The sequence below is a fragment of the Homo sapiens genome, chromosome 2 (assembly GCF_000001405.40).
Source record: "Homo sapiens chromosome 2, GRCh38.p14 Primary Assembly".
Taxonomy (NCBI): domain Eukaryota; kingdom Metazoa; phylum Chordata; class Mammalia; order Primates; family Hominidae; genus Homo; species Homo sapiens.
The window spans coordinates 131,983,065-132,006,296 of record NC_000002.12 but is presented as its reverse complement, the minus strand read 5'-3'; the positions used below and the strand labels follow the sequence as shown (position 1 = coordinate 132,006,296).

Sequence of the window (23,232 nt, the reverse complement as noted above, 5' to 3'; positions counted from 1 at the left end):
GGATATCATACCCAGGATTTAAAGCCCTCTCTGCAGGATTTTCAAGCTCATGTTTTTATCATAAGTCACTCTGCTTCCATGTGTTTTAAATCTAATCCTCATTCCTCTGCTTTTACACCAGAGAATTCATCACTGACTTACTTTTGACTGACCTCCTTCTAGAGCTGTCAGGTACACAATTTCTGCTGTGACCTTTCTCTTAGAGTTCAGTCATACAGCCTCTCACTAGATATCATCTCCTCTTATCTTTCCTAATAATGAATTTTCAGTTAAAACTCAACATTTTTAAGATTGAGCTTACCATCTGCACACACACACACACACACACACACACACACACACAATTATTGGTGTATTCTCATAGCCTTGAAACAGTAATGTCACATTGATGTCTGCCTTTTCTTTCTCTGCTACCTCATCCCTCATCCTTAGATTATTCTAAAAGATTCAGTTAGATCAAGTTGGCTAATTGTATTTTTAAGATCCTCTCTACCCTTACCAATTTTTTGTTTAACAAATTTTAAAAATTTCTGGCAGGAGACTGTTGAAATCCCCATGGATGACTGTGGTTTTACTATTTTACCTTTCAGTTTTAATAGGTTTTATATTATGTATTTTGAAGTAATGCTATTGTGTGCATACATATTTATTATTTACATGTCTTCTTGGTGTATTTTCCCCTTTGTCATTATGAAATGTTATTCTTCATCCCCAGTGATATTTCCTGTTCTGATGCCTACTTTGCTCTTCACAGTTTTAGTGGGTTTTGGTTTGTTTGTTTTTCTTTTTTTTGGTTCAGGTAAGTTTCTTATAAAGAGCATATAGTTGAGTCAGGGTTTTTAATCCTGTCTTATGATCTCTGCCTTTTAATAAGAATATTTTGTCAATTTATATTTAATGCAATTATCAATATGATTGGGTGTATAACTACTCTCTTGCTATATGTTTTCTAAATGTCTCATCATTTTTGTTCATTTTCCCCCTTTTTCTGCCTTCTTTTGAATTGAAAATTTAGTTTTTAAGATCCGCTTTTATCTCCACTATTAGCTTTTAACCATTCCATTGTTTTAATTTTAATGATTGATATAGGGCTCATAAAATAGACAGTTCTTGTTTTCCTTAGTTTTGATATGCAAAGGCTTTAGTTATCATGCTTTAGTTACATAGCACAAGCCCCAAAACAAAACAGTGTAGGTACAGCAGTGTATTAATTGGGACTAATGGCTTGAAGTACAATTTTTTTCTGTTAACTCTTCAGTCCATAAAACTATTAGGTAAATGTCAGATTTGCATCAAGATCCATGATTAGTCATGTCACTTTTCTCAATATCTATCAATAATCAATTACTATGTATCTGTTTTGTATTCATACAGAGATAGGAAAGCATACAGTAGTGTTGCTTCTTTGTCTTTCAGTGATAAAGACGTGACATTACACAAAAATTGATAAACGACAGAAAATCAGCCAACAAAAATGAAAGTGTGGCAAATAAATGAAAGTGTCAACACCGAAAGTGAATTCAGATCGGATCTTGATGGATTTATAGAAGAAATAGTTAATTGCGAGAATGCTGACACAACTACCATCCAAGAGATTTCATATGTGCAGTCAGGGGAACTTATGGAATACATATTTACAACTTAAATGAAGAAGCTGATTGCAGGGAAAAGACGAAAGTTTTCCCAGAAGATGTGATGCTGAGAAAAAAAATTACATTGAAGAAACTCTCCAAGATGTTTAAAGACAATGAACGCACAAACAATAAAATGTTGGACAAATAATCAAATTTATAAAGAAGTATGGCAATTCACCAAAGCATAAAAAATATTGAGAGTCACATGATGAGAAGTTGTACAAATACTGTACAAACTAATCTGAATACATTTCAAAGAAATATATAAAACATGTATTTTAATTATCAATGTTTTAAATTATAGTGTACTATGTAAATACTAGTTTTAGGGTTGTTTTTTGGTTTTTACTTTTCTATGCATATATAACCAACAGTAAGACATTTTTAATATTTTGACAAATGTGTTTATTTATTTATTCTTTTATTTAGAGACAAGACCTCACTCTGTTGTCCAGGCTGGAGTGCAGTGGTATCAAAAAGGCTCACTGTAGCCTCGACCACCAGGCTGAGGTGATCCTCGCACCTCAGCTTCCTGGATAGCTGGGACTATAGGTACGTATCACCACTCCTGGCTAATTTGTTGTAGTTTTTGTAGAGACAGGGTTCTGTCATGTTGCCCAAACTGGTCTCAAACTCCTGGGCTCAAGTGATCTGCCCACCTTGGCCTCCCAAAGTGCTGGAATTACCAGTGCGAGCCACTGCACCTGACTGACAAGTGTTTTTAATGATTGCAGGAACAAGTTTATGTTTTTCCAGTAATTATTAAGATAACTTTGCCCAGTTTCAACTTGCACAGTGGTTACTAAGGCCCCGCACTGATGTGCATAAAGAGTACCATCTGTACATTTTTTTTAACTTAAAACACTCAACCTTCAAATAATATTTATAATACCTGCTATATAGTTTTAAAATATTGCAATTCTGAAGCCAGCATTACCATGATACTAAAACCCAGCAACCTATAATCCTGCAATGTAAGACCTCAAACTATAAGAATCCTAGAAGTAATGCTAGGAAACACCATTCTGAAAATCAGCCTTGGGAAAGAATTTATGACTAAGTCCTCGAAAGCAATTTCAACAAAACAAAAATTGACAAGTGGGACCTAATTCAACTAAAGAGCTTCTGCACAGTAAAAGAAACTATCAACAGCATAAGCAAACACCCCACAGCATGGGCGAAAATATTCACAAACAACGTGTTCAATAAAAGTCTCTTATCTGGAATCTATAAGGAACTTAAATAATTAAGCAAGCAAAAAACAAATAATTTTAAAAATGAGCAAAACCATGAACAGATACTTCTCAAAAGAAGGCACACAAGTGGCTAACAAACATGAAAAAAATGCTCGTAATCACTAATCTCAGAGAAATGTAAATCAAAACCAAAATGAGATATCATCTCACACTAGCCAGAATGGCTATTAATAAAAGCTCCAAAAATGTTTAATAATATATTTTATTGAAAAGTTCCTGCCAAGGCTATAGAAGAAGGGGAATGTTTATACACTGTTGGTGGGAATGTAAATTAGTTCAGCCCATGGGGAAAGTAGTTTGGAGATTTCTCAAAGAGCTTAAAACAGAACTACCATTTGACTTAATAATCCCATTTCTGGTTATATATCCATAAGAAAATATACCAAAAAGACACATGCACTTGTATGTTCATTGTAGCACTATTCCCAATAGCAAAGATATGGAATCAACCTAAGTGCCCATCAGCAGTGGATTGGATAAAGAGAATATGGTACATATACACTATGGAATACTACACAGCCATAATAAAGAACAAAACCATCTATTTGCAGCAACATGGATGCAACTTGCAGCCATTATCTTAAGTGAATTAATGCAGAAACAGAAAATCAAATACCACGTGTTCTCACGTGTAAATGGGAGTTAAACACAGGGTACTCATGGATATGAAAACGGCAACAATAGAAACTGGACACTGCTAGAGGGAGAGGAAGGGAGGGAGGGAGACCGGGGTTGAAAAACTATCTGTTAGGTACTATGCTCAGTACCTGGGCGACGGGCTTAACCGTACCACCAACCTCAGCATCACGCAATATATCCATGTAACAAACCTGTACATGTGTTCCATAAATTTAAAATAAATGTTCAAATAAAAAAACAAATATTATAACTGTCTATCCATTTTCTCTCTACAGTTCTTTGCCCTACTGTCATAGGGTTTTCCTCCTTTCTTTATAAATATTTTGAATACCACAGAAATAATTATTATTTTGGTTTTAAATAATCCATTACCTTTAACATTACTTAAAACATGAAAAAATGTCTTTTGTATGTATTGTTTCTTTTTCCTTTTTTTTTTTTTTTTTTTTTTTGAGATGGAGTCTTGCTCTGTTGCCCGGGCTGGAGTGCAGTGGTGCAATCATGGCTCACTGTAACCTCCACTTCGTGGGTTCGAGAGACTCTCCTGCCTCAGCCTCCTGAGTAGGTGGGATTAGAGGCACGTGCCACCACACCCAGCTAATTTTTGTATTTTTAGTAGAGACAGGGTTTGACCATGTTGGTCAGGCTGGTCTCCAACTCCTGACCTTGTGATCCGCCCACCTCAACCTCCCAAAGTGCTGAAATTACAGGCGTGAGCCACCATGCACTGCCCTATGTATTATTTCTAACATGAATCATTTCTTTTTAAAAATGTAAATTATCCCAGCACCATTTATTAAATAGGAATCCTTTACCCCATATCCAACAATGATAGACTGGATTAAGAAAATGTGGCACATAGACACCATGGAATACTATGCAGCCATAAAAAACGATGAGTTCATGTCCTTTATAGGGACATGGATGAAGCTGGAAACCATCATTCTCAGCAAACTATCGCAGGGACAAAAAAACAAACACCGCATGTTCTCACTCATAGGTGGGAATTGAACAATGAGAACACAGGAAGGGGAACATCACACACCAAGGCCTGTTGTGGGGTGGGGGGAGGGGGGAGGGATAGCATTAGGAGATATACCTAATGTTAAATGACGAGTTAATGGGTGCAGCACACCAACATGGCACATATATACATATGTAACAAACTTGCACGTTGTGCACATGTACCCTAAAACTTAAAGTATAATAATAAAAAAAGTACATTATCATCCTGTTACTTTCTTTTTGTCTACCATTTCTTTCAGTCCCAGTATGTTGTTGATAAAATCTATCAGCTACTTATTGTCAAAATAGCTTTATTTGCTTTCATTTTTGTAAATTTCTTGATTTTTTTAGAATTTTCACTTGAATGAATTTCCAGGTTGACTTGTTTCTCTTGCTTTAAGTAATAGAATGTTGCGCTACTGTCTTCTGATATACATGCTTATCATAAAAAGTAGTTATTACATTGGTTCCATTGTCAGTAATACATCTCTTTTTCTCCAACTGTTTTTAAGTTTTCTTTTTAAAAACAACTTTCTTCAACTTAATCCTTTTATTCATTTTGCTTTGAGTCCACTGCACTTCTTTTACCTGTTGGTTTATAGTTTTACCAAGTTTTAAAAATATCTCAACCACTACCTTTACAAGTAGTTTTTGCCCTGCCCCCATTTCCTGGGATTTCAATTATGTGTGTTGTTAAGCTGCTTAATATTTTCTAATCCCATAATTTCTATCTTTTCTTGGTCTGTTTTGATTAATTTTTGTCTTGTTTTGGATCAATTTTTTTGTTTATATGCATTTCTGTTATTTTTTTAATGTCTAAGGGAAATTCTGAATTCTACATTGTTAGGATCTGGATTTTGTTTTATTTCTTTAAAGAGAGATGAACTTTGTTTTCAAATGCAGTTAAGTTATCTGAGATCAATGGTGATATTGTTTGCTTTTAAATGTGATTATAATGGCTTCAGAGCCTTGACTCTAGAACTGATTCACCCCGCTACTAAGGTGTGATTATTCTGAGAACTCTATCTGCTATTATAAGTTTCTCACTCTGGCTGGAGCACATACGGGTTCTTCTAAGGCCCATATGACCTCCAGGAATTTCTCTGGCCCATTGCTAATGAAGACTCATTTTTCTATCTCATGGAGTTTTACTTTATGTAGGCACAGTTCAGTTCTCACTCAAGGACTCCAGAGAACCTCTATGTAAATCTCCACAGTTCTCTCTCTGTGCAGCCCTCTTCTCTCTGTCAGTCTGCCTTGATGATTCTAGTCACCTTGGCCTACATAAACTTTGATATCTTGCTCTTAAATTCAGCAAATCATGATATTCTCTCTCGGATTGTCTCATACCATGCTGGAGGCTGGAAATCACTTTCAGTAAGTATGCTGGCACAATAAAGGGTATATATTGTTTTCTTTCTCTCAGAAATGACAGTTTTGGGCTGCCTATTTTTTTCATGCAATAAAAACAGTTTATATACTTGTTCTGGATTTCTAGACGTTTACAAAAGTTGCATAATTCTGGTAATCATTAATTCTTTATCGGCAACAGTTGAATTCTCAGAGACTTGTTTAACTGCCCAGATGACAATTATCCTATTGCTTTATTCTTCAAATCTAGTAAGTGAATCAAAGTCAGTCTTAGTGATGATCAGTATCTCTATATTTTTGTCTAAAAAACAGAATGCTATTTTAATCTATAGATTCAAGTGTCATTTTATCTCTTTGAAGTTTTCAACAAGTAATGTTTCCAGTATTAATGTTCTTTCTTATTCTTCAAAACATCAAGTAGGCAGAGGTTGAGTCTCCATTGTCATGCATCTATATTTACCAATGCCATATTAAGGATTTTTATTATGCCTTTGTCTTTTCATATAATTTACTTTTGTGTGGTTTCTTCTAGATATTCACTATTTTTCTGGATGTAATTGCTGATGTATAGTGCCTATGTATTTCTTTTTTATATAATTCCTTAGTTGTTCACTTCAATTTCTAAATTGAGATTAAGTTAACTTCAATTTGTTCTCTGATTACTTTGGTAATTCTACTTGTGATTTAGTTTTAGCAACTGCATCTTGTTTATGCTTTTTGTTCATTTTCATATTTAGAAAATAGAACACCAGGCATATATATTTTACTGATTTTTTTCTCTCTGCATTCCTCATAGAACAGATCCAGGTATTAGCTAAGGGATCCTCTGGGGCAGGAGCGGTGTGGCATTGCAGTTTGTACCTTTTTTTAAATCCATGTTTTTGTAATGGAATACTGTCACACTAATTTCCTTACTCCCTAAGTACTGGACACTTGTTTCTCCTCCTATCAGCATTCACTTTTCTAAAGGTAATGTGGCTCATATTTAGATTCCTAGGTTTCTAAATCTACATTTCTAATCTCTATATTATCACATGCTGGTTAATGCTTTTCTCTTTTGCTCCTCTCCACTTCTGTGAGCTTCATTCTGTTTGGAACTCAGAGTATATGAAATGAATAGAGTACATCAGCCTGAATTCTCTTACAACTTCAAATTCTTTCCATTTTATGGTTAGACAACACTGAGTTACTCTATAGTGACTTTCCTACTTTTATTAATATCATGGTCACATTATTCCATAAAATCTAACAATTTTAAGAAAAATAGTTTTTGAGTTACATCTCCCAGAGTAGTGGCAATGATAGCTGGAAAAAATGACCATCCTGAACATGTACTGATTATACATGTGAAAGCATTCACTCTGATCACTCCTTGTTTTAGTTGAAATATAACAGTATTTGGAAGGTTTGCTTCTCAGTTCATGGTTTCGGGCTGTAGTTGTTTCTCTGAAGATGCTTATCTTCTTATTTTTTCTTGTTTTCTTTTTGTTCTCAATGAAATGAATTTTAATAGAAGAATGAAATGTAAAATATTCAAATTCAGTGTCTTACAGTGTCTATAGTTTTGGGCACTCATTTTGAAACTGAATAATAATTTTCAATGCATATGACTCATTCTCTACCCTCCTTTCTTCCATTCTTCTGAATGTGTGACAAACAAGTATAGATGCTCTGAATGGTAATAAATTAAAAAATCATTTCATGATGGTCCTATTCCTATAATTATATTTTCCAATTGACCTCCACTTCCTATCCTAACTGCATAAAAGTGAAATAAATCAGTGACTATATAATTTTAAAAATAAGTGGTCTGAATGATTTTGCTGGGATAAGTAATAAAAAATATTGAAATCTTTGAGGTTTTCAATTTGCTTAAAAAGAAAAAAGTTTCAGGCTTTGGCAAAGCAAACATGCATTTTGGTAAGTAATATTCCCCCTTAATTTTGAGATTTATTTTGGCTTCATACATTTCTTTCTTATATGAATACCATTAAAGTAAAAGTTATTTCAGAGTTATCAGGTTGAAGACTTTTATAGATGTATGTTCATGCATTTTTTTTTTCTTAAAAATATAGTTGTTTTAGTTTGTGCTGCCAGAGCAAAGTACCATAGACTAGGCACTTTGTAAACTGGATGGGTTTATAAACAACAGAAATTTATTTCTCACAGATCTTGAGTTCAGAAATATGAGATTAGAGTGCCAGCATGGATTAATTCTTGTGAGGACCCTCTTCTGACTTGTAGACTGCCGTCTTTTCTTTATATCCTCACACAATAGAAAAAGAGCAAGAGAGTTCTCTGGGGTCTTTTTTATAAGGGTGCTAATCTCATTCACATGGGCTCCAGTCTCATGATGTAATTTGCTCCCAAAGACCCCACCTCCTAGTACCATACATTGTGGGTTAGGATTTTGACATATGAATTTGGGTGGGGGGAGAAAAACAACCATTTAATCCATTGCAATAGTGAAGGTGGAGGAGATACAAAAAAATCTTCCGTAAGTCTTTCATAAATTATAGTATAAGAAAATATCATGAATGGTTCAGACTTGTGATTTTTATCACTACAAAAGAGATTATGGGACTGTGATATGGTCTGGCTCTGTCCCCACCCAAATCTCACCTTGAATTGTAATAATCTCAATATGTCAAGGGCAGGGCCAGGTGGAGATAATTGAATCATGGGGGCGGTCTCCCCCATACTGTTCTCATGGTAATGAATAAGTCCCTGTTGGTTTCATAATGGGAGTTCACCTGCACAAGCTCTTTTGCCTGCTGCCATCTAAGACATGCCTTTGCTCCTCCTTTGCTTTCTGCCATGATTGTGAGGCCTTCCCAGCCATGTGAAACTGTGAGGCCTCCCCAGCCATGTGAAACTGTGAGTCCACTAAATCACTTGTTCTTTATAAATGACCCGTCAAGTATGTCTTTATTTGCATGAAAACAGACTAACACAGACTGATTCATCTGGCTCAGAAATATTTGAATAGGACTTCTAAAAAGGGCCTTGCAAGGTATGTATTATGTGTATTGATGAAGATGGATGGAGTTTTCATGAAAGTTACATGTAAATACACAGACCAGCCAAGGTGAATAAAGAAAGAAAGAAAATTAGCAGAGATGGACAGAATAGAAGCCAAACACGAATCATTTATTTACTTCTCTTTAAAGTGCCAAAGCACATATTTAATTTTTTTTTTTTTTTTGAACTGGAGTCTCACTCTGTCACCCAGGCTGCAGTGCAGTGGTGCAATCTAGGCTCACTGCAACCTCCACCTCCCCGGTTCAAGCAATTCTCCTGCCTCAGCCTCCCAAGTAGCTGGCACCAGCCACCACACCTGGTTACATTTTTTTGTATTTTTAGTAAAGACGGGGTTTTACCATATTGGCCATGCTGGTCTTGAACTCCTGACCTTGTGATCTGCCTGCCTTGGCCTCCCAAAGTGTTGGGATTACAGGCATGAGCCACCATGCCCAGCCACATAATTAATTTTTATCACAGATTTCACAGATTTTAAACTCCTCAAGTTACATTTCTCAAGTAGTAAAATCACTTATTTCTGAGTGCATTTAAGATGGACCTTGAGTTTATTTAAAATGCAGATTCCCAGGTCCTGTTCTATGCCTGTTAAATCAGAATCTCTGGACTTGGAACTAACTGAGAAATTTGCACTTTAAGCAAAAATCCTGGTGAATTCTACTAAGGTTTTAAAGCCATTCATCTGACATGTGGAGTACAATCTCTTTAATTATCTTTAGTGAATATCCTCTATAATATTCCCAAAGATTGTAAGTAAATAGTTAAATGTATCAATGTTAAGACTTCAACAATTTAAGAAATGTTCCCTAATGCAGGTGGTTTTCTTACAAAACGGGAGGTATAGTTGAGTGTATGTATTGGAAAATAAGGACTAAAACTCTCTTTAAGGATAATACCAAAGGTAATTTTCTTAATCCCTACTTTTAAAAATATTACATTGGCTTTGGTCTTCTTGTTGAACGGTTAATAATTTGACCGATAAATCTATAAATTCTTGTTAACAACTTACTATAATCTTAGCTACATAAAGGTGATACAAAAGGAAGGGAACTATATAGTGCATGAAATTTGACCTAAGAGTTATGAAGAGTTTGAGAAAACAAGAGAAAATATGAAAGATTATCATAGAACAGAAGGTAATTGCATGGTATTAATTTTAAATGCTGCCACTATTCACAGGCTAAGGAAGAACAAAGAAGGTTTTTGTTGTAAGTCAGGTTTCAGGAAGTGATTTGGCTAAGATGTGGACCTAAAAGCTGGGTAATATCACTTACAGAAAATACCATTACAGAAAATACCGAAATAGTCACTATCCACAATTTAGAAGAAAAAAACCTAAAGTTATCTTTGTCCCATGATAATCAAGCAGTTGTCATTTAGCTCCTTTCAAGGTAACAAGGGATTTCATAGAATATTATACTTCAATAGCACTTCATCAAAATTTCATTTGCGGTAAATCTAATTATCTCATTTCTTTTTTTTTTGAGACGGAGTCTCGCTCTTTCACCCAGGCCGGAATGCAGTGGTGCGATCTCCGCTCACTGCAAGCTCCGCCTCCCGGGTTCTGGCCATTCTCCTGCCTCAGCCCCCCAAGTAGCTGGGACTACAGGATTATCTCATTTCTTACAAAAGTTACCCATGGTGCTGAGAAAACTAGAAACTGGCCTTTAGATGATGCTTGGTTTTGTTCCTATTTATTTTTAAAACTTGATATTTCTTCAGAGAGTAAACTTTGTTATATTATGACAACATGTCGGGTATCATCAATTTGAATTTTGTTAGATTCATTTTTATTTTTTAGAATCCCAAGATAAATTGCTCAGTTTTTATGCTTAGTTTAAATTTGAGAGCCTTAATATAAACTTGTACAATTTTGTTTCACTGTATGTTTTGTTATTATTTGGGAGGTGAGGAGAGTTCATTTGCAGTACAATTTTAGCATATTTTATAATATAGTCAGTCAAAAAAAAGCTTCACATGTATATATTTCTTCTTTATTTTAGACTGTAGGTTATGTATTTTAAAACCAATTGTTAGATGTCCCGTTATACAGATTTACTTCTTCCTATTTGGTGATTTTTTGATGCATTAAAAAGAGAAAATTGTATAAACCTAATGACTGTTGACAAGTGTTCAGAGAGAGAAAAAAGATCGATAATTAGCACAATGGAAGGACTTCCAAATCCACACTCTTTTGACGTTTTCTCACCTAAAAAGTATTTATTGCCGTTTTACTGGTTGATTGGTTGTCATTTTTCTTTCAGTTGTGTTTCTATGCAGAAATTGCATGGAACTGAACAGCAATTGCATTACAATTGAAATTGTTTCTAATATTATTCACTAATGGGCAAATCCATTACTTTAGGTCCATTTCATATACAAGGAAATGCAGTTACTCCGAGGACAATTCAGGTAAGTAACTACCGCAGCATGGACCCAAGGGTAGCGGCAGAAAGTGGTGCTGCTCTAAGTTTCTCCTCTAGTGGATGCCAAAAGAAAACATTCTTATCACTGTGTACATGCTAGGCATAATTGTTTTGATATGTGTTCAGCACAGGCTTTGGCAAAAGTCTTTCTATGTAAATCCAAACAGTAACTGTTGAATTACTCATTTAAACTTATGTGTTTCACAGCACAAGTTGTTAGTGAAAGGTTTCAACTTCTTATTTTAGACATTAAACAGATACCTCAAATGTTTGGGAATTCTTCGTTTACATCTCAGCAATGGAAATATTTAGCTTTTTTTTTTTTTTTTTTTTTTTTTTTTTTTAGCTAGCCAAGAGTCCCTGTACAGTGAGCAATCTTTTGGGTCTTCTCATCACTGAAGAATTTCTATGTGGACACTAAAGTAATATTAAAACCACTCACTCTCACTGGTAATTTACAGAATACAGTTTTAATAAACAGCAATATTGACAACAATAGCAATGATGAAACCTCTGAGGTGAGAGAGAATGTTAATTTTAGCAAAGAGTGTCTTGTCATCTGGACAAGGCTTACCAGTTCCTAGCCTCTAGTTTGTATACATTTATGCAATCATTTTGAATATTTACTCCCTGTATGCTGGTAGAAACATCAGTGTCAGGACATTACATGTGAAGGAATAATTCAACATTTAAGTTTTTAAGAGTATATTTTTTTCAGATCTTGTTCCCCAAAGTTAAACATTGTGGTAGATTGAGACATTCATTATTAAATATCTTACAGAAAACAAAGGAAATCGTAACATCTTATTTACCATCATTAAGAGAAACCTGAAGGCCAATTACTCATTGAATGGCAGGCAACACAATTACATTATTGTATAGAATCCTCAGGACTGTATTAAAAAATTATGAGAAGGAGTTTACACAGGTCAGCCTATAAAACTACTCTATAATTTCTATCTGTAAATTGAAATAGAAAAGAAATAAGATTGAATTAAATATGATAATAGTAAATTTCATGTCTAAGTGTGCTAAACTAGCTGGCCTTTCCTATTCTTGAATAAAATTATTCTGGTTGCCATAATGCATCCCGAAGCTTACCTAGATGAGGAGAAATTCGAAGTATTCCAACGTCTGCCCTCATGAATAGATCAAGCCTTGGGGGAAACCAGTGATCTCTTGGCAACAGGACCAGAAGGTACGTAATCTCTTGTTTTAATTATATTTCATCTGCTGAAAAATTGCTTATCTCTCTGAGATTTATCTTAGAGATGACTGAAAGTAATTTTGTGACCTTCACATTGTCCGTATTTAAGTTAGATAACTGAAAATTTGGTGAGCATCCGAAAACCTCAAGTATGTATGGAGATTAAGATTTCCAACTCTGAAGAAAAACTGTCAGGTTCAAATCTTGGTCCTGTTCACCTCTGATGATGAACTCTGTGGTTACAAAACCCTCCTGCCTCCCTTTATCCATCTGAAAAAAAAATTGGTATGACTACATAGTTTGGCAAGTGGGGGCTAACTGAGCTACTAGACAACTTACACCGTAAGTCGACACAAAGCACATGCACAATAAGCATAATTAATATTACATTATTTTATTTTGTATGAGGTGGCAACAAATAGTTATCACATGCTTAATTTTAAATAAGCATTAATAGTGGTAGAAATTAAGGAAATATATTTATTAGAGAAAACTTAGAAATATGAAGGCTCTATCTAGTTATATTTATTTCTTATGTATCACATCCTCAATTTTAAATAAAAAGCATTAATAATAGTAGAAATTAAGAAAATACATTTATTAGAGAAGTCTATTAGAAATATCAAGGCTTAATCTAATTATATTTGTTTGTTAACTGAACTTGAGACATATGAATATTCACATACTTTAAGATATTTTATCACCTATTTGAAGAGGGACTCTGGCCACTATAAGAACAACTCGCACATAGCAAAAATTAGTGATTGAATACATTCTAAAGAGTAACATACATTTTGAAAGTGAGCTGTTGTTGGCTGGGCACGGTGGCTCACACCTATAATCCCAGCACTTTGGGAGGCCGAGGCGGGCAGATCACGAGGTCAGGAGATCGAGACCATCCTGGCTGACATGATGAAACCCCGTCTCGACTAAAAAAAATACAAAAAATTAGCCGGGCATGGTGGCGGATGCCTGTAGTCCCAGCTACTCAGGAGGCTGAGGCAGGAGAATGGTGTGAACCTGGAAGGTGGAGCTTGCAGTGAGCTGAGATCTCGCCAGTGCACTCCAGCCTGGGGGACAGAGCGAGACTCTGTCTCAAAAAAAAAAAAAAAAAAGTGAGCTGTTGTTATTGAACTTTTTATTATTACTTAATTACAAGAAAAAAAACAAAGTAAACAACCAAAAAAATTATAGTGTTGAGAAAATGCCAAGGCTGCTCACCCACTTCTTTAACCATTCTTCAAAAAAGTGAGCTGTTGTTATTGAACTTTTTATTATTAGTTAATTACAAGAAAAAACAAAGTAAACAACCAAAAAAATTATAGTGTTGAGAAAATGCCAAGGCTGTTCACCCACTTCTTTAACCATTCTTCAAATTTACCATATATATTTTTTTTTGACTAAGTGAGATAAATCACATTGAAATGCATGAAATAATGTCTGGCATCCAGTAGATGCTCAGTGACATTTGTCCCCTTTAATGGTTTCAACTGGCTAGGATTTCACACGAAGAACAGTAGCATTTTGGTATCACTAGGCTAATGTCCATTTTCTGTATTGGAGAGTAGAGAAACCCCTTGGGTGATAGCTTATTTTACCTACTATGGAATTTTTACAGAACAAAGTTAAGGGTCATCTGCTGTGTGGATTCCCACTGGTATGTGAGACGTGGCAGAACATAATGGTAAGAAGAAGGATTCAGGAGCTGAACCATCTGGGTTCTTCAGGCTGTATCACCTACTGCCTATGAGAGGTTTAGCCAGTTAGTTACCTTTGTGAGCTTCCTCTGGTGAGGATCAGAAGAATTAATACATAAGGCACCAATTATAATACTAACCCTGGGATGTAAAAAGGCTCAGTTATTATTACTGGTTACCATTATTATTAAGAGTGTTAATAATAATTACTACAGCAATCTTTTCTAGACAAGGGAAAGTGAAGCAACTAATTAACCCTCAAGGAAAAAAAGGTTTTTTTCACTGCTAAAGACTATTAACTCTGACATGAGTTTTAGAATATTTTTGCTTTCTCTCTCTTTGCCTGTATTTTCTTTATTTTTTATTCTAACATTTTCGATTTACCCAAGGATTTTGTTGCTAGATGGTGGTTCTGGTAGGCTGATCAAAGTTCATACCACAGGCAGTTAATTTTACCGAGATGGCTCCTGGTTTCTTTCTTTTTTAAATAAATCATAACCACTGCCGAGGTTGATATGAGGACTTCTCTCCATTGGCAAGTAGCATTGTAGCCACAACCTCTTATTAAAGCTTGAAACAAAATGGTGATTACTAGTGTTTATGGCCAAATTTTGTTCATGCCTGCCCACTGAATTTGTTTGGATACCAGGAAATTATGGACTGTGTGATTCGAATTAGGATAAGAGATTAAACCCTGGGAGCCATTCTTTAGCAAAGACTGTGCTGTTAAAAAAAATGGAAAATATCCTTTTAACCAAGTCAGTGAAATTAGCTTAGTCATGAGGATTGCAAGTGATCTTTCTGAACCTGAGATGTAAACACAGTGCCAAAAAATTTCATCAGGAGACTGAGGAGAGATGCTGATTCTTATTTTGTGAGAGATTTGTAATGCTAACTTAATCTTCTGACTGAACCCCTTAATTTCCCATTTTTAACTATTCTAGATGCTTGTCTCAGGAAATGGAAGAAATCTCTTCAATAATGTTACCAGAGACATGCCATGTCATTTCTATCTTCTCAATACAACTACTTAGTTCCTTTTTTCTTTCATTTTTGCATAATTTCCATAGCAACGTGTACATGGTGACTACATTACATCAATCAGCACCTCCACTCCTGGTCCCAGTTTTTTCTTTGCTAATCCTCACTGCTGACTTTTGTTGTTGTGGTTTCATTATCATTTCACAAGGTAACTACTGTCACCTTGGAAATGAAGTGCATGGTCAAAGCCCTTTAATACACAAAATATGTAAAATCTCCTCTTATGCATATTATACATGAAAGAAGGATAAGACCATCAGTTAGTTTTGTCTCCCCTGTAGAAAAAGCCAGAGCATCAGGACAGCTGCATCCTCTTTCACAGAAGTAGGAGAGCAGATGCTGAGGCAGGACACAATAGTACTTCAGCCTGTGTTGCCTCCACTTGCATCCTAGAGCACTTGTTGAACTCTCTCTTAGGTAAATGGTAATATTTTCTGAAGGCACTAAGGGAATTTTTACCATGAGGGTAAATACCAATTAGCTATTATCTCCTCTTAGTAGGAGTGTAGCACAAAGAACTTCTGATTGACTGCTTTTCAGGGGCAGGGATAATTTGTTTGTCTGCTTGTTTATGTATTTATTTATGATTTTAGTCAGATTGCATTCTAAGACTTTAGCAAGATTTCAACGAACATTTTCCTATTTTTTCTTTTTCTTTCTTTTTTTTTTTTTTTTTTTTTTGAGACGGAGTCTGGCTCTGTCACCCAGGCTGGAGTGCAGTGGTGCGACCTCGGCTCACTGCAAGCTCCACCTCCCAGGTTCATGCCATTCTCCTGCCTCAGCCTCTCGAGTAGCTGGGACTACAGGTGCCCACCACCACCACGCCCAGCTAATTTTTTGTATTTTTTTTTTTTAAGTAGAGATGGGGTTTCACCTTGTTGGCCAGGATGGTCTCAATCTCCTGACCTTGTGATCTGCCCACCTCGGCCTCCCAAACATTTTCCTATTTAAGCCTTGCCACTGAAAATTTTCTGTCTTTAAGTCCCACATAACAACTGCAGCCTGTAACATCTTGCTGACTGGCTTGACAGAGGATGGCCAATTTTTGTGTTTAGGCTCAGATGTGCAGTGCTGGGTTCTCAAATTGTGTCCCAGCCTGGGGCAGTGTGGCTTTAATAACATCCTCATTATCCATCCTTTATATAAAAAACCTTATACCTGTATGCAAAGCCATGGACTCTTAAGATTTTGAGTGCATCATACATGCTACAGGCAGCAGAAGATATATGAAGGATGTGCTTTCAGGCCAATCCCTGCCTAGTGTAGGCCCAGGTGGTATAATGCCTCATAACAGACCCCATTCCCTGGGCAAAGACATTGTGAATGGTGGGATTAGTATCCTCCTGTGACATGTGACATCCTCCTGTGACCTACTCACTATGATTTGGATGGTTCCCCTCAAGTTTGGGCTAGAGTGTCAGTGAGTGGATTAACTCAGGACAATTCCAGTTCTTTCTATGTACCTTCCTTTCGTCATGAGGGATATGAAGAAAACATTAGATCATGTTGGATGCTGTTTGTCTGTTGGTTGGTTGGTTGGTTGGGTTTAACAATAAGAGCACGTATCTAGTCTTCTAGTTTTGTAAGGCTGCCATAATAATTTACATCCAAGCTGGTGGCTTAAAACAACAGATATTTATTCTCTCACAGTTGTAGAAACCAGAAGTTTGGAATCAAAGTGTCAGAGGACCATGTTCCTTCCAAAAGCCCTAGGGAAAAATTTTAATTCTTCCTTGCCTCTTCCAGCTTTTGGTGGCCCCAGGCATTGCTTGGCTGATGGCAGCATAACTCCAGTCTCTACTTTTGTCTTCATATGTCATTATTCCCTATGTTTCTTTGTATTCTCCTTTTCTGTCTCTTATAAGGACACTCATTGGTGGATTTCATGCTTATCTCAATCCAGCATGACCTCAAATTGAGATGCTAACCTTAATTACATCTACAAAGATTCTTATGCCAAATAAAGTTACATTCTGAGATTCCAGTTGAACATATCTTTGGAGATCCACTGTTGAACCTACTATGCTTAAAAACTCAGGCCTGTCCCAAGGGCAGATTTAAAAAGAAAGAGAAATTCATTTTGCTTTCTGATTTTGAGATTGTTCCTCTTACCCCTACTCCATTTTCAACACCTGAACTTTATCAAGAAAACTCAAAGACAAAATGTGGCCAAGGTTGGCAATAAATACATTTTTGCCAATAATCTGATGGGAAATGTATGTTACTTCTTGTAAATCAAAATAAACTGGATCTGCTGGCAATCTGGTTAACCTGCAATTTGGATTATGACAATGGTGTTCTTATTTTATGCATTTTCACATGCTCCAAATCTCCTTCTGTATCTTTTTCTAAAATTTTGCTGAGAGTCCATCTTTTCTGACCAAAGGTGATTTCATTCTCCACTAAAGTAGTTATTAAAAATATCTTCTGGTAGATAAGGAAAAAGTGGCTCATGTATACCACTGGAATTCTACACAGTCATAAAAAAGAACCAAATTAGGTTATTTGCAGCAAAATGGATGCATATGGAGGCCATTATCCTAAGCAAGATAACAAGGAAACAGAACCAAATACTGCATGTTCTCACTTATAAGCAGGAGCTAACTATTGTGTATTCATGGTCATAATGGTGGAAAGGATAGTCACTGGGACTACTAGAGGATGGAAAGAGGGTGAGAGGCAGGGCTAAAAAACTATTTTTTGGATCTTATGCCCACTACCTCGGTGAAAGATTGATTCATACTCTAAACCTCAACATCACTCAATATACCTTTGCAGCTAACCTGCATGCATACCCCCAATTCTAAAATAAAAGTTGAAAAAAAAAGCTTAGAAAAGAATTGAAGGAAATACAAAAATAAATTACCACGACTACCTCTTGATGGTGAGTATGGGTAATTTTTGTTGGTTTATATTGACCCCCTATTTAGCAAAATTCCTGAAATGATCACATTAATGAGAAAATATAGTTTTCAGTTCCTAGAAAGGTTTGCTTGGTTTATGTTTAAAAACAAATGATTCAACGGCTCTTTTCACAGACTTGATGGTGATTTGGGAGAAAATCCAGAAATTGGTGACCTATCATGAGTTCATAATTAGCCCCATTATTTCTGATAAAACATTTCAGTAGCATTAAAATGCTAAGCTGAACTAAGATGTTCATGAAATGTATTCAAATAAACAAACCCAAATTAAACATGATTGTATAAAAATATCTTACTTGAATTGGTAATATAAATGCAGAATTTGTGAATGTTTATTTATAGTTCCTGTAATTTGGGGAAATTAAAGTCACTTGGGAACAATGTTTACTTCACTAGCAACCAAAGGAGTACAATTGAAAAATAATGACTTGAAAATAAAATAAAAGTAAAAAAGGACTTCATTTCTTTTCACACAGTCTGAAAGAGTGAGTGCACAAGCTTTTCTCTGCCCAACTCCTCTTTGTCCACAAGGAATTTTCAGAATTCCTCCGTGTCTGTCTTATAATTTCATTCCTTGCTCATATAAGCAAGTTGGTTCAGAAACCCTAAGACTGTTATACCGTCAGTTGGGTTAGTTTAAAATAACCCCTATGAGCAGTTGAACACCGAATTGGCAATGCTTTGGAAAGCAGAGACCCTGTCAGCTAACCAGCCATCCTTTAAAATCAATTCATATTCTCACAGTCCCTGGGGATTGTTTCACAGGGCTAAAATTTCGCTGTTGGAACAGGGTTGCTTGAAGATAACAGGGATACTTGAAGGTAAGCATGTCAATATTTTGCTGTTTCTGAATGTCATTCATTCAGAGATGGCTTAAGACATTTGCAATTCATTCAAAGATGGCATAAGAAATTTGGATTTTCAAACTTTAGTTTTCTCATCTTAGAGTTTGAGGTAATTTTATTTGTCAGCTGCCAGAAAATAAAAAGTACACATAAGGTAGCAGACTAATATCTACATTGACCTATTGTAGAACCAGAAGGACCCATTTATTTAGCAAGAGACTTCTTTACTGTGTCTAGTTCAGGTTCCTGGAAAGATGGGACAATTCGTAGTAACACCCATTCCTTCTGCTAAGGGTCATGAGATAGGTTTAGACATATGGTCCCATTTTGATGATGTTTTAAACTTTGTTTATTTTACATACCCTGTGATAGGGCCAATCAATGTAGGGGCCTAAACGTCGGTATAGCCTGTAATTTTGACAGATGCCCAGATTGTGGTATTGACAAATAGGACAGATGTCCCGAGGGGCATATGTGTAGAAATAGATGACATTTCACAGAGAATTTACTAATTCAATATAATGCTGAAACAACATGTGATAGTAGTTGAACCCATATATAGAATACATTTGGGGAAATTTTTCTCACATATTTGATGTGGTGCCCAGAACTATATGATGTGAAGAGTAATTGTGTGTTTTGTATGGGAACACATTAGTAAAACCTCATGTAAATCAAAATCAATCCAGATGAAAAATAATTAATAACGGTGTTTACAAACTCGAATAATACCTGCACAAGGCAATGGCATAAACAAAGTTTACAATGCCTCCAGATGGCAATATTTGAAAGATGATTTCGAGTTTTACACACAAATCGAGAATTTATTCATATAACATATGGAGCTAACTAAAATCCATATAATTCAAATTAGCTTACATTGTAACTAAATGGAATGGAAAAGGAGTTCCTGTTCATTTTACCACTTTCAGAATAGAAAATTCTGGATCTGGTGAAAATTGATCATTTTCCTTTTGTTTTAATTCAAGGTATAGACTCGTGTCTAAAGACATGGTTAACTGTTTAAGGAGAATAGAAGATGAAGAAGGGTTAAATGACAAGCAAGTTTTAAAAGTCTGATATCAACTAATTTTTAGGCAAGGAAGATTTAAAAATTTCACTGTGATTTGAGTGAGAGGCCCCTTACTTTTTATATCACATTGTAAGTTTAAAGAAGAAGAGAATAAAAACATCATGGCTAAATCACCTGAAATGACTTCAAATTTTCTACAAATGATAAACATATCCAATGTGATAATTATAATTCAAGGCCCATTTTAATCTGACCCTAAATTTTCTTTCCCATTCTAATAATCAATAAGCTAATCAATAAGCTCATAACATCCTACAGATTCAGCACACACACATGCACACACACACAGAGAAACACAGTCACTTCTTCAAACACATTGTTTTTTCATTTTTCTTCACCTTTCTTCTATTTATTTATGAGAGTGCCCACCTCCAAGGTAAGAGGGTTATTGAGATAATTTTATAAATGTCATGGGGCTTGCCCTCATAAAGTCTACATTCCAGAAAGGAAGTTGACAAGAAACAACCAATGGTTCAATTACTTATTAAAATTAGTTTTGATCATTATCTCTCTATCCACTATTAATCTACCTATAATCTTCTTTGCTCTTTTCCATGTTTAATGAACTCTTAGACTTTTCTTTTAACTTTTATTTTAAGTTCACGAGTACAAGTGCAGGTTTGATACATTGGTAAATTTGTGTCTTGGGGGTTTATTGTACAGATTATTTCATCACCCTGGTATTAAGCCTAATACCCATTAGTTATTTTTCCTGATCCTCTCCCTCTACCCTCTAGCCTGTGAAAAGCCCCATGGGTGTTGTTACCCTCTGTGTCCATATGTGCTCATCATTTAGCTCCCACTTATAAGTGAGAACATGTGGTATTTGGTTTTCTGTCTCTACATTAGTTGGCTAAGGATAATGGCCTCCAGCTCCATAATGTCCCTAAAAAGGACATGATCTCATTCTTTTTACGGCATAGCATTCCATGATGAATATGTACCATATTTTCTTTATCCAGTCTATCACTGATGGGCATTTAGATTGATTCCATGTCGTTGCTTTGTGAATAGTACTGCAATGAAGATATGCATGCATGTGTCTTTATAATAGAGTAATTTATATTCCTTTGGGTATTGATAAGGTTTGGCTGTTACCCCACCCAAATCTCATCTTGAATTATAGCTCCCGTAATTCCCATGTTTCATGAGAGGGACCCAGTGGGAGATAATTGAATCATGGGGGCAGGTCTTTCCCATGCTGTTCTCCTGATAGTGAATAGATCTCATGAGATCCGATGGTTTTATAAATGGGAGTTGCCCTGCACAAGTTAACAAGTTCTCTCTTGCCTGCCTCCATGTAAGATGTGACTTTGATCCTCATTCTCTTTCTGCCATGATTGTGAGGCCTCCCCAGCCATGTGGAACTGTGAGTCCATTAAACCTCTTTTCTTTATAATTTACCCAGTCTCAGATACATCTTTATTAACAGCATAAGAACAGACTAGTACAGGTAATGGGATTACTGGGTTGAGTGGTACTCCTTTCTTTAGGTCTTTGAAGAATCACCACCCTGTCTTCCACAATGGATGAACTAATTTACACTCCCACCAACTGTGTATAAGCATCTCTTTTTCTCTACAACCTTGCCAGCATCTTTCATTTTTTTATTTTGATAATAGCCATTCTGACTGGTGTTAGTATCTCATTGCAGTTTTGATTTGCATTTCTCAGAGTCTAAAATCTAGAATTAAAACTTTTAACTTGGTGAGCCTATGTTGAATGACTACAGAGAACCTAGATAAGCAATTTTCGTTTGCATTTTATCCAAAACAGGTGGCAAGAAGAAAAGTTTAAGAATTTCAAGTGGCTTGATTGGACTCTTCTTCATGGTCGCTGAGTCAAGGACCTTCTCTTCTAGTGAATTTAAGGGTTTTGTGGAACACTAGTCTTTCTTTATGAACTCTGTCCTCTTTCTCATACAATTTATCTTTTCCACATATGGATGGAATAAAACTGCAGAAAATATAATGAAATGGATAACCATATATTTTTTAAAATAGAAATTTTTGAGTACTGACATTCAAGGTTTTAATTCTAGATTTAAAAATACATTTTATTTACACACTCATCAGTTAATGGATGCTTGAATTATTTTCACTTTCAGTCTATTATGAATAATGCTGCTATGAACGTTAATGTATAAGTATTTGTGTGAACAAATAGAACAGACATGGTCAGTTCTCTTGTGTATATTCCTACAAGTAGAATTTCTGGGTCTTATGGCAGCTCTATGTTTGATTTTATGCAGAATTTCTAAACTGTTTTTCAAAGAAACTGTTTTACATTCTGAGAAGCAATGTATGAGAGTTCTAATTCTTTTACATCCTCAACAACACTTGTTATTATCTGTCTTTTTTATTATAGTTATTCTGGTATTTGTGAAGTTTCATCTCATTATGATTGTGATTTGCATTTCCCTAATGGCTAATAACAGTCAGCATATTTTCATGTGCCTATTGGCCATTTGTATATCTTCCTTGGCATAAAGTCTTTCAAATTACTTGCTCATTTTTTAATTGAGTTATTTGTCTTTTGATTTTTTAGTTGTAACAGTTCTTTATATAGTATGCATAAGTCCTTATCAGATACACAATGTGAAAATATTTTGGTTCCTGCTATACATTGGTTTTCCCCTTTATAAGTGGTGTATTTTGTAGATCAAAAGCCTTTAATTTTAATGAAGTCCAGTTTAACAATATTTTTCTCGTGTTGCTTGTGTTTTAAGTGTCTTATTGTTTGTTAAGTGTCATAGGTTTTTTAATATGAATGAGTGTTGGATTTTCTCCAAAGATTTTTCCACAACTATTGTCATGATAATCCTTTTTGATCCTTTATTTTATTAATATACATATGTTATTAATTGATTTTCCATTGTTGAAGCATATTTGTGTATCTGGGATAAATCCTACTTGGTCATGTTTTGTAATCCTATTTAAAGTTATTGGGTTTAGTTTGCTAGTATTTGACTGAGGATTTTTTTTTTCTTTTCTTTGTATTTGTAAGGAATATCAGAGTTTTTTTCAATATTTATTTTAGATTCATGGGGCATATG

General features: G+C 35.3%; 1 long non-coding RNA gene across 2 annotated transcripts in view; it reads left to right on the top strand.

The window, feature by feature from the left end:
* LINC01945 (long intergenic non-protein coding RNA 1945) overlaps positions 1-22,511 on the top strand; it is a 54,115-nt gene extending 31,604 nt beyond the window's left edge. For both annotated transcript variants that reach the window (NR_146485.1, NR_146484.1), the window contains exons 3-7: positions 2,064-2,186; positions 11,310-11,356; positions 11,717-11,888; positions 12,467-12,568; positions 21,954-22,511. This is a non-coding gene — a long non-coding RNA (long intergenic non-protein coding RNA 1945). The remainder of the gene's footprint in view (positions 1-2,063; positions 2,187-11,309; positions 11,357-11,716; positions 11,889-12,466; positions 12,569-21,953) is intronic.
* Positions 22,512-23,232: the final 721 nt, after the last annotated feature.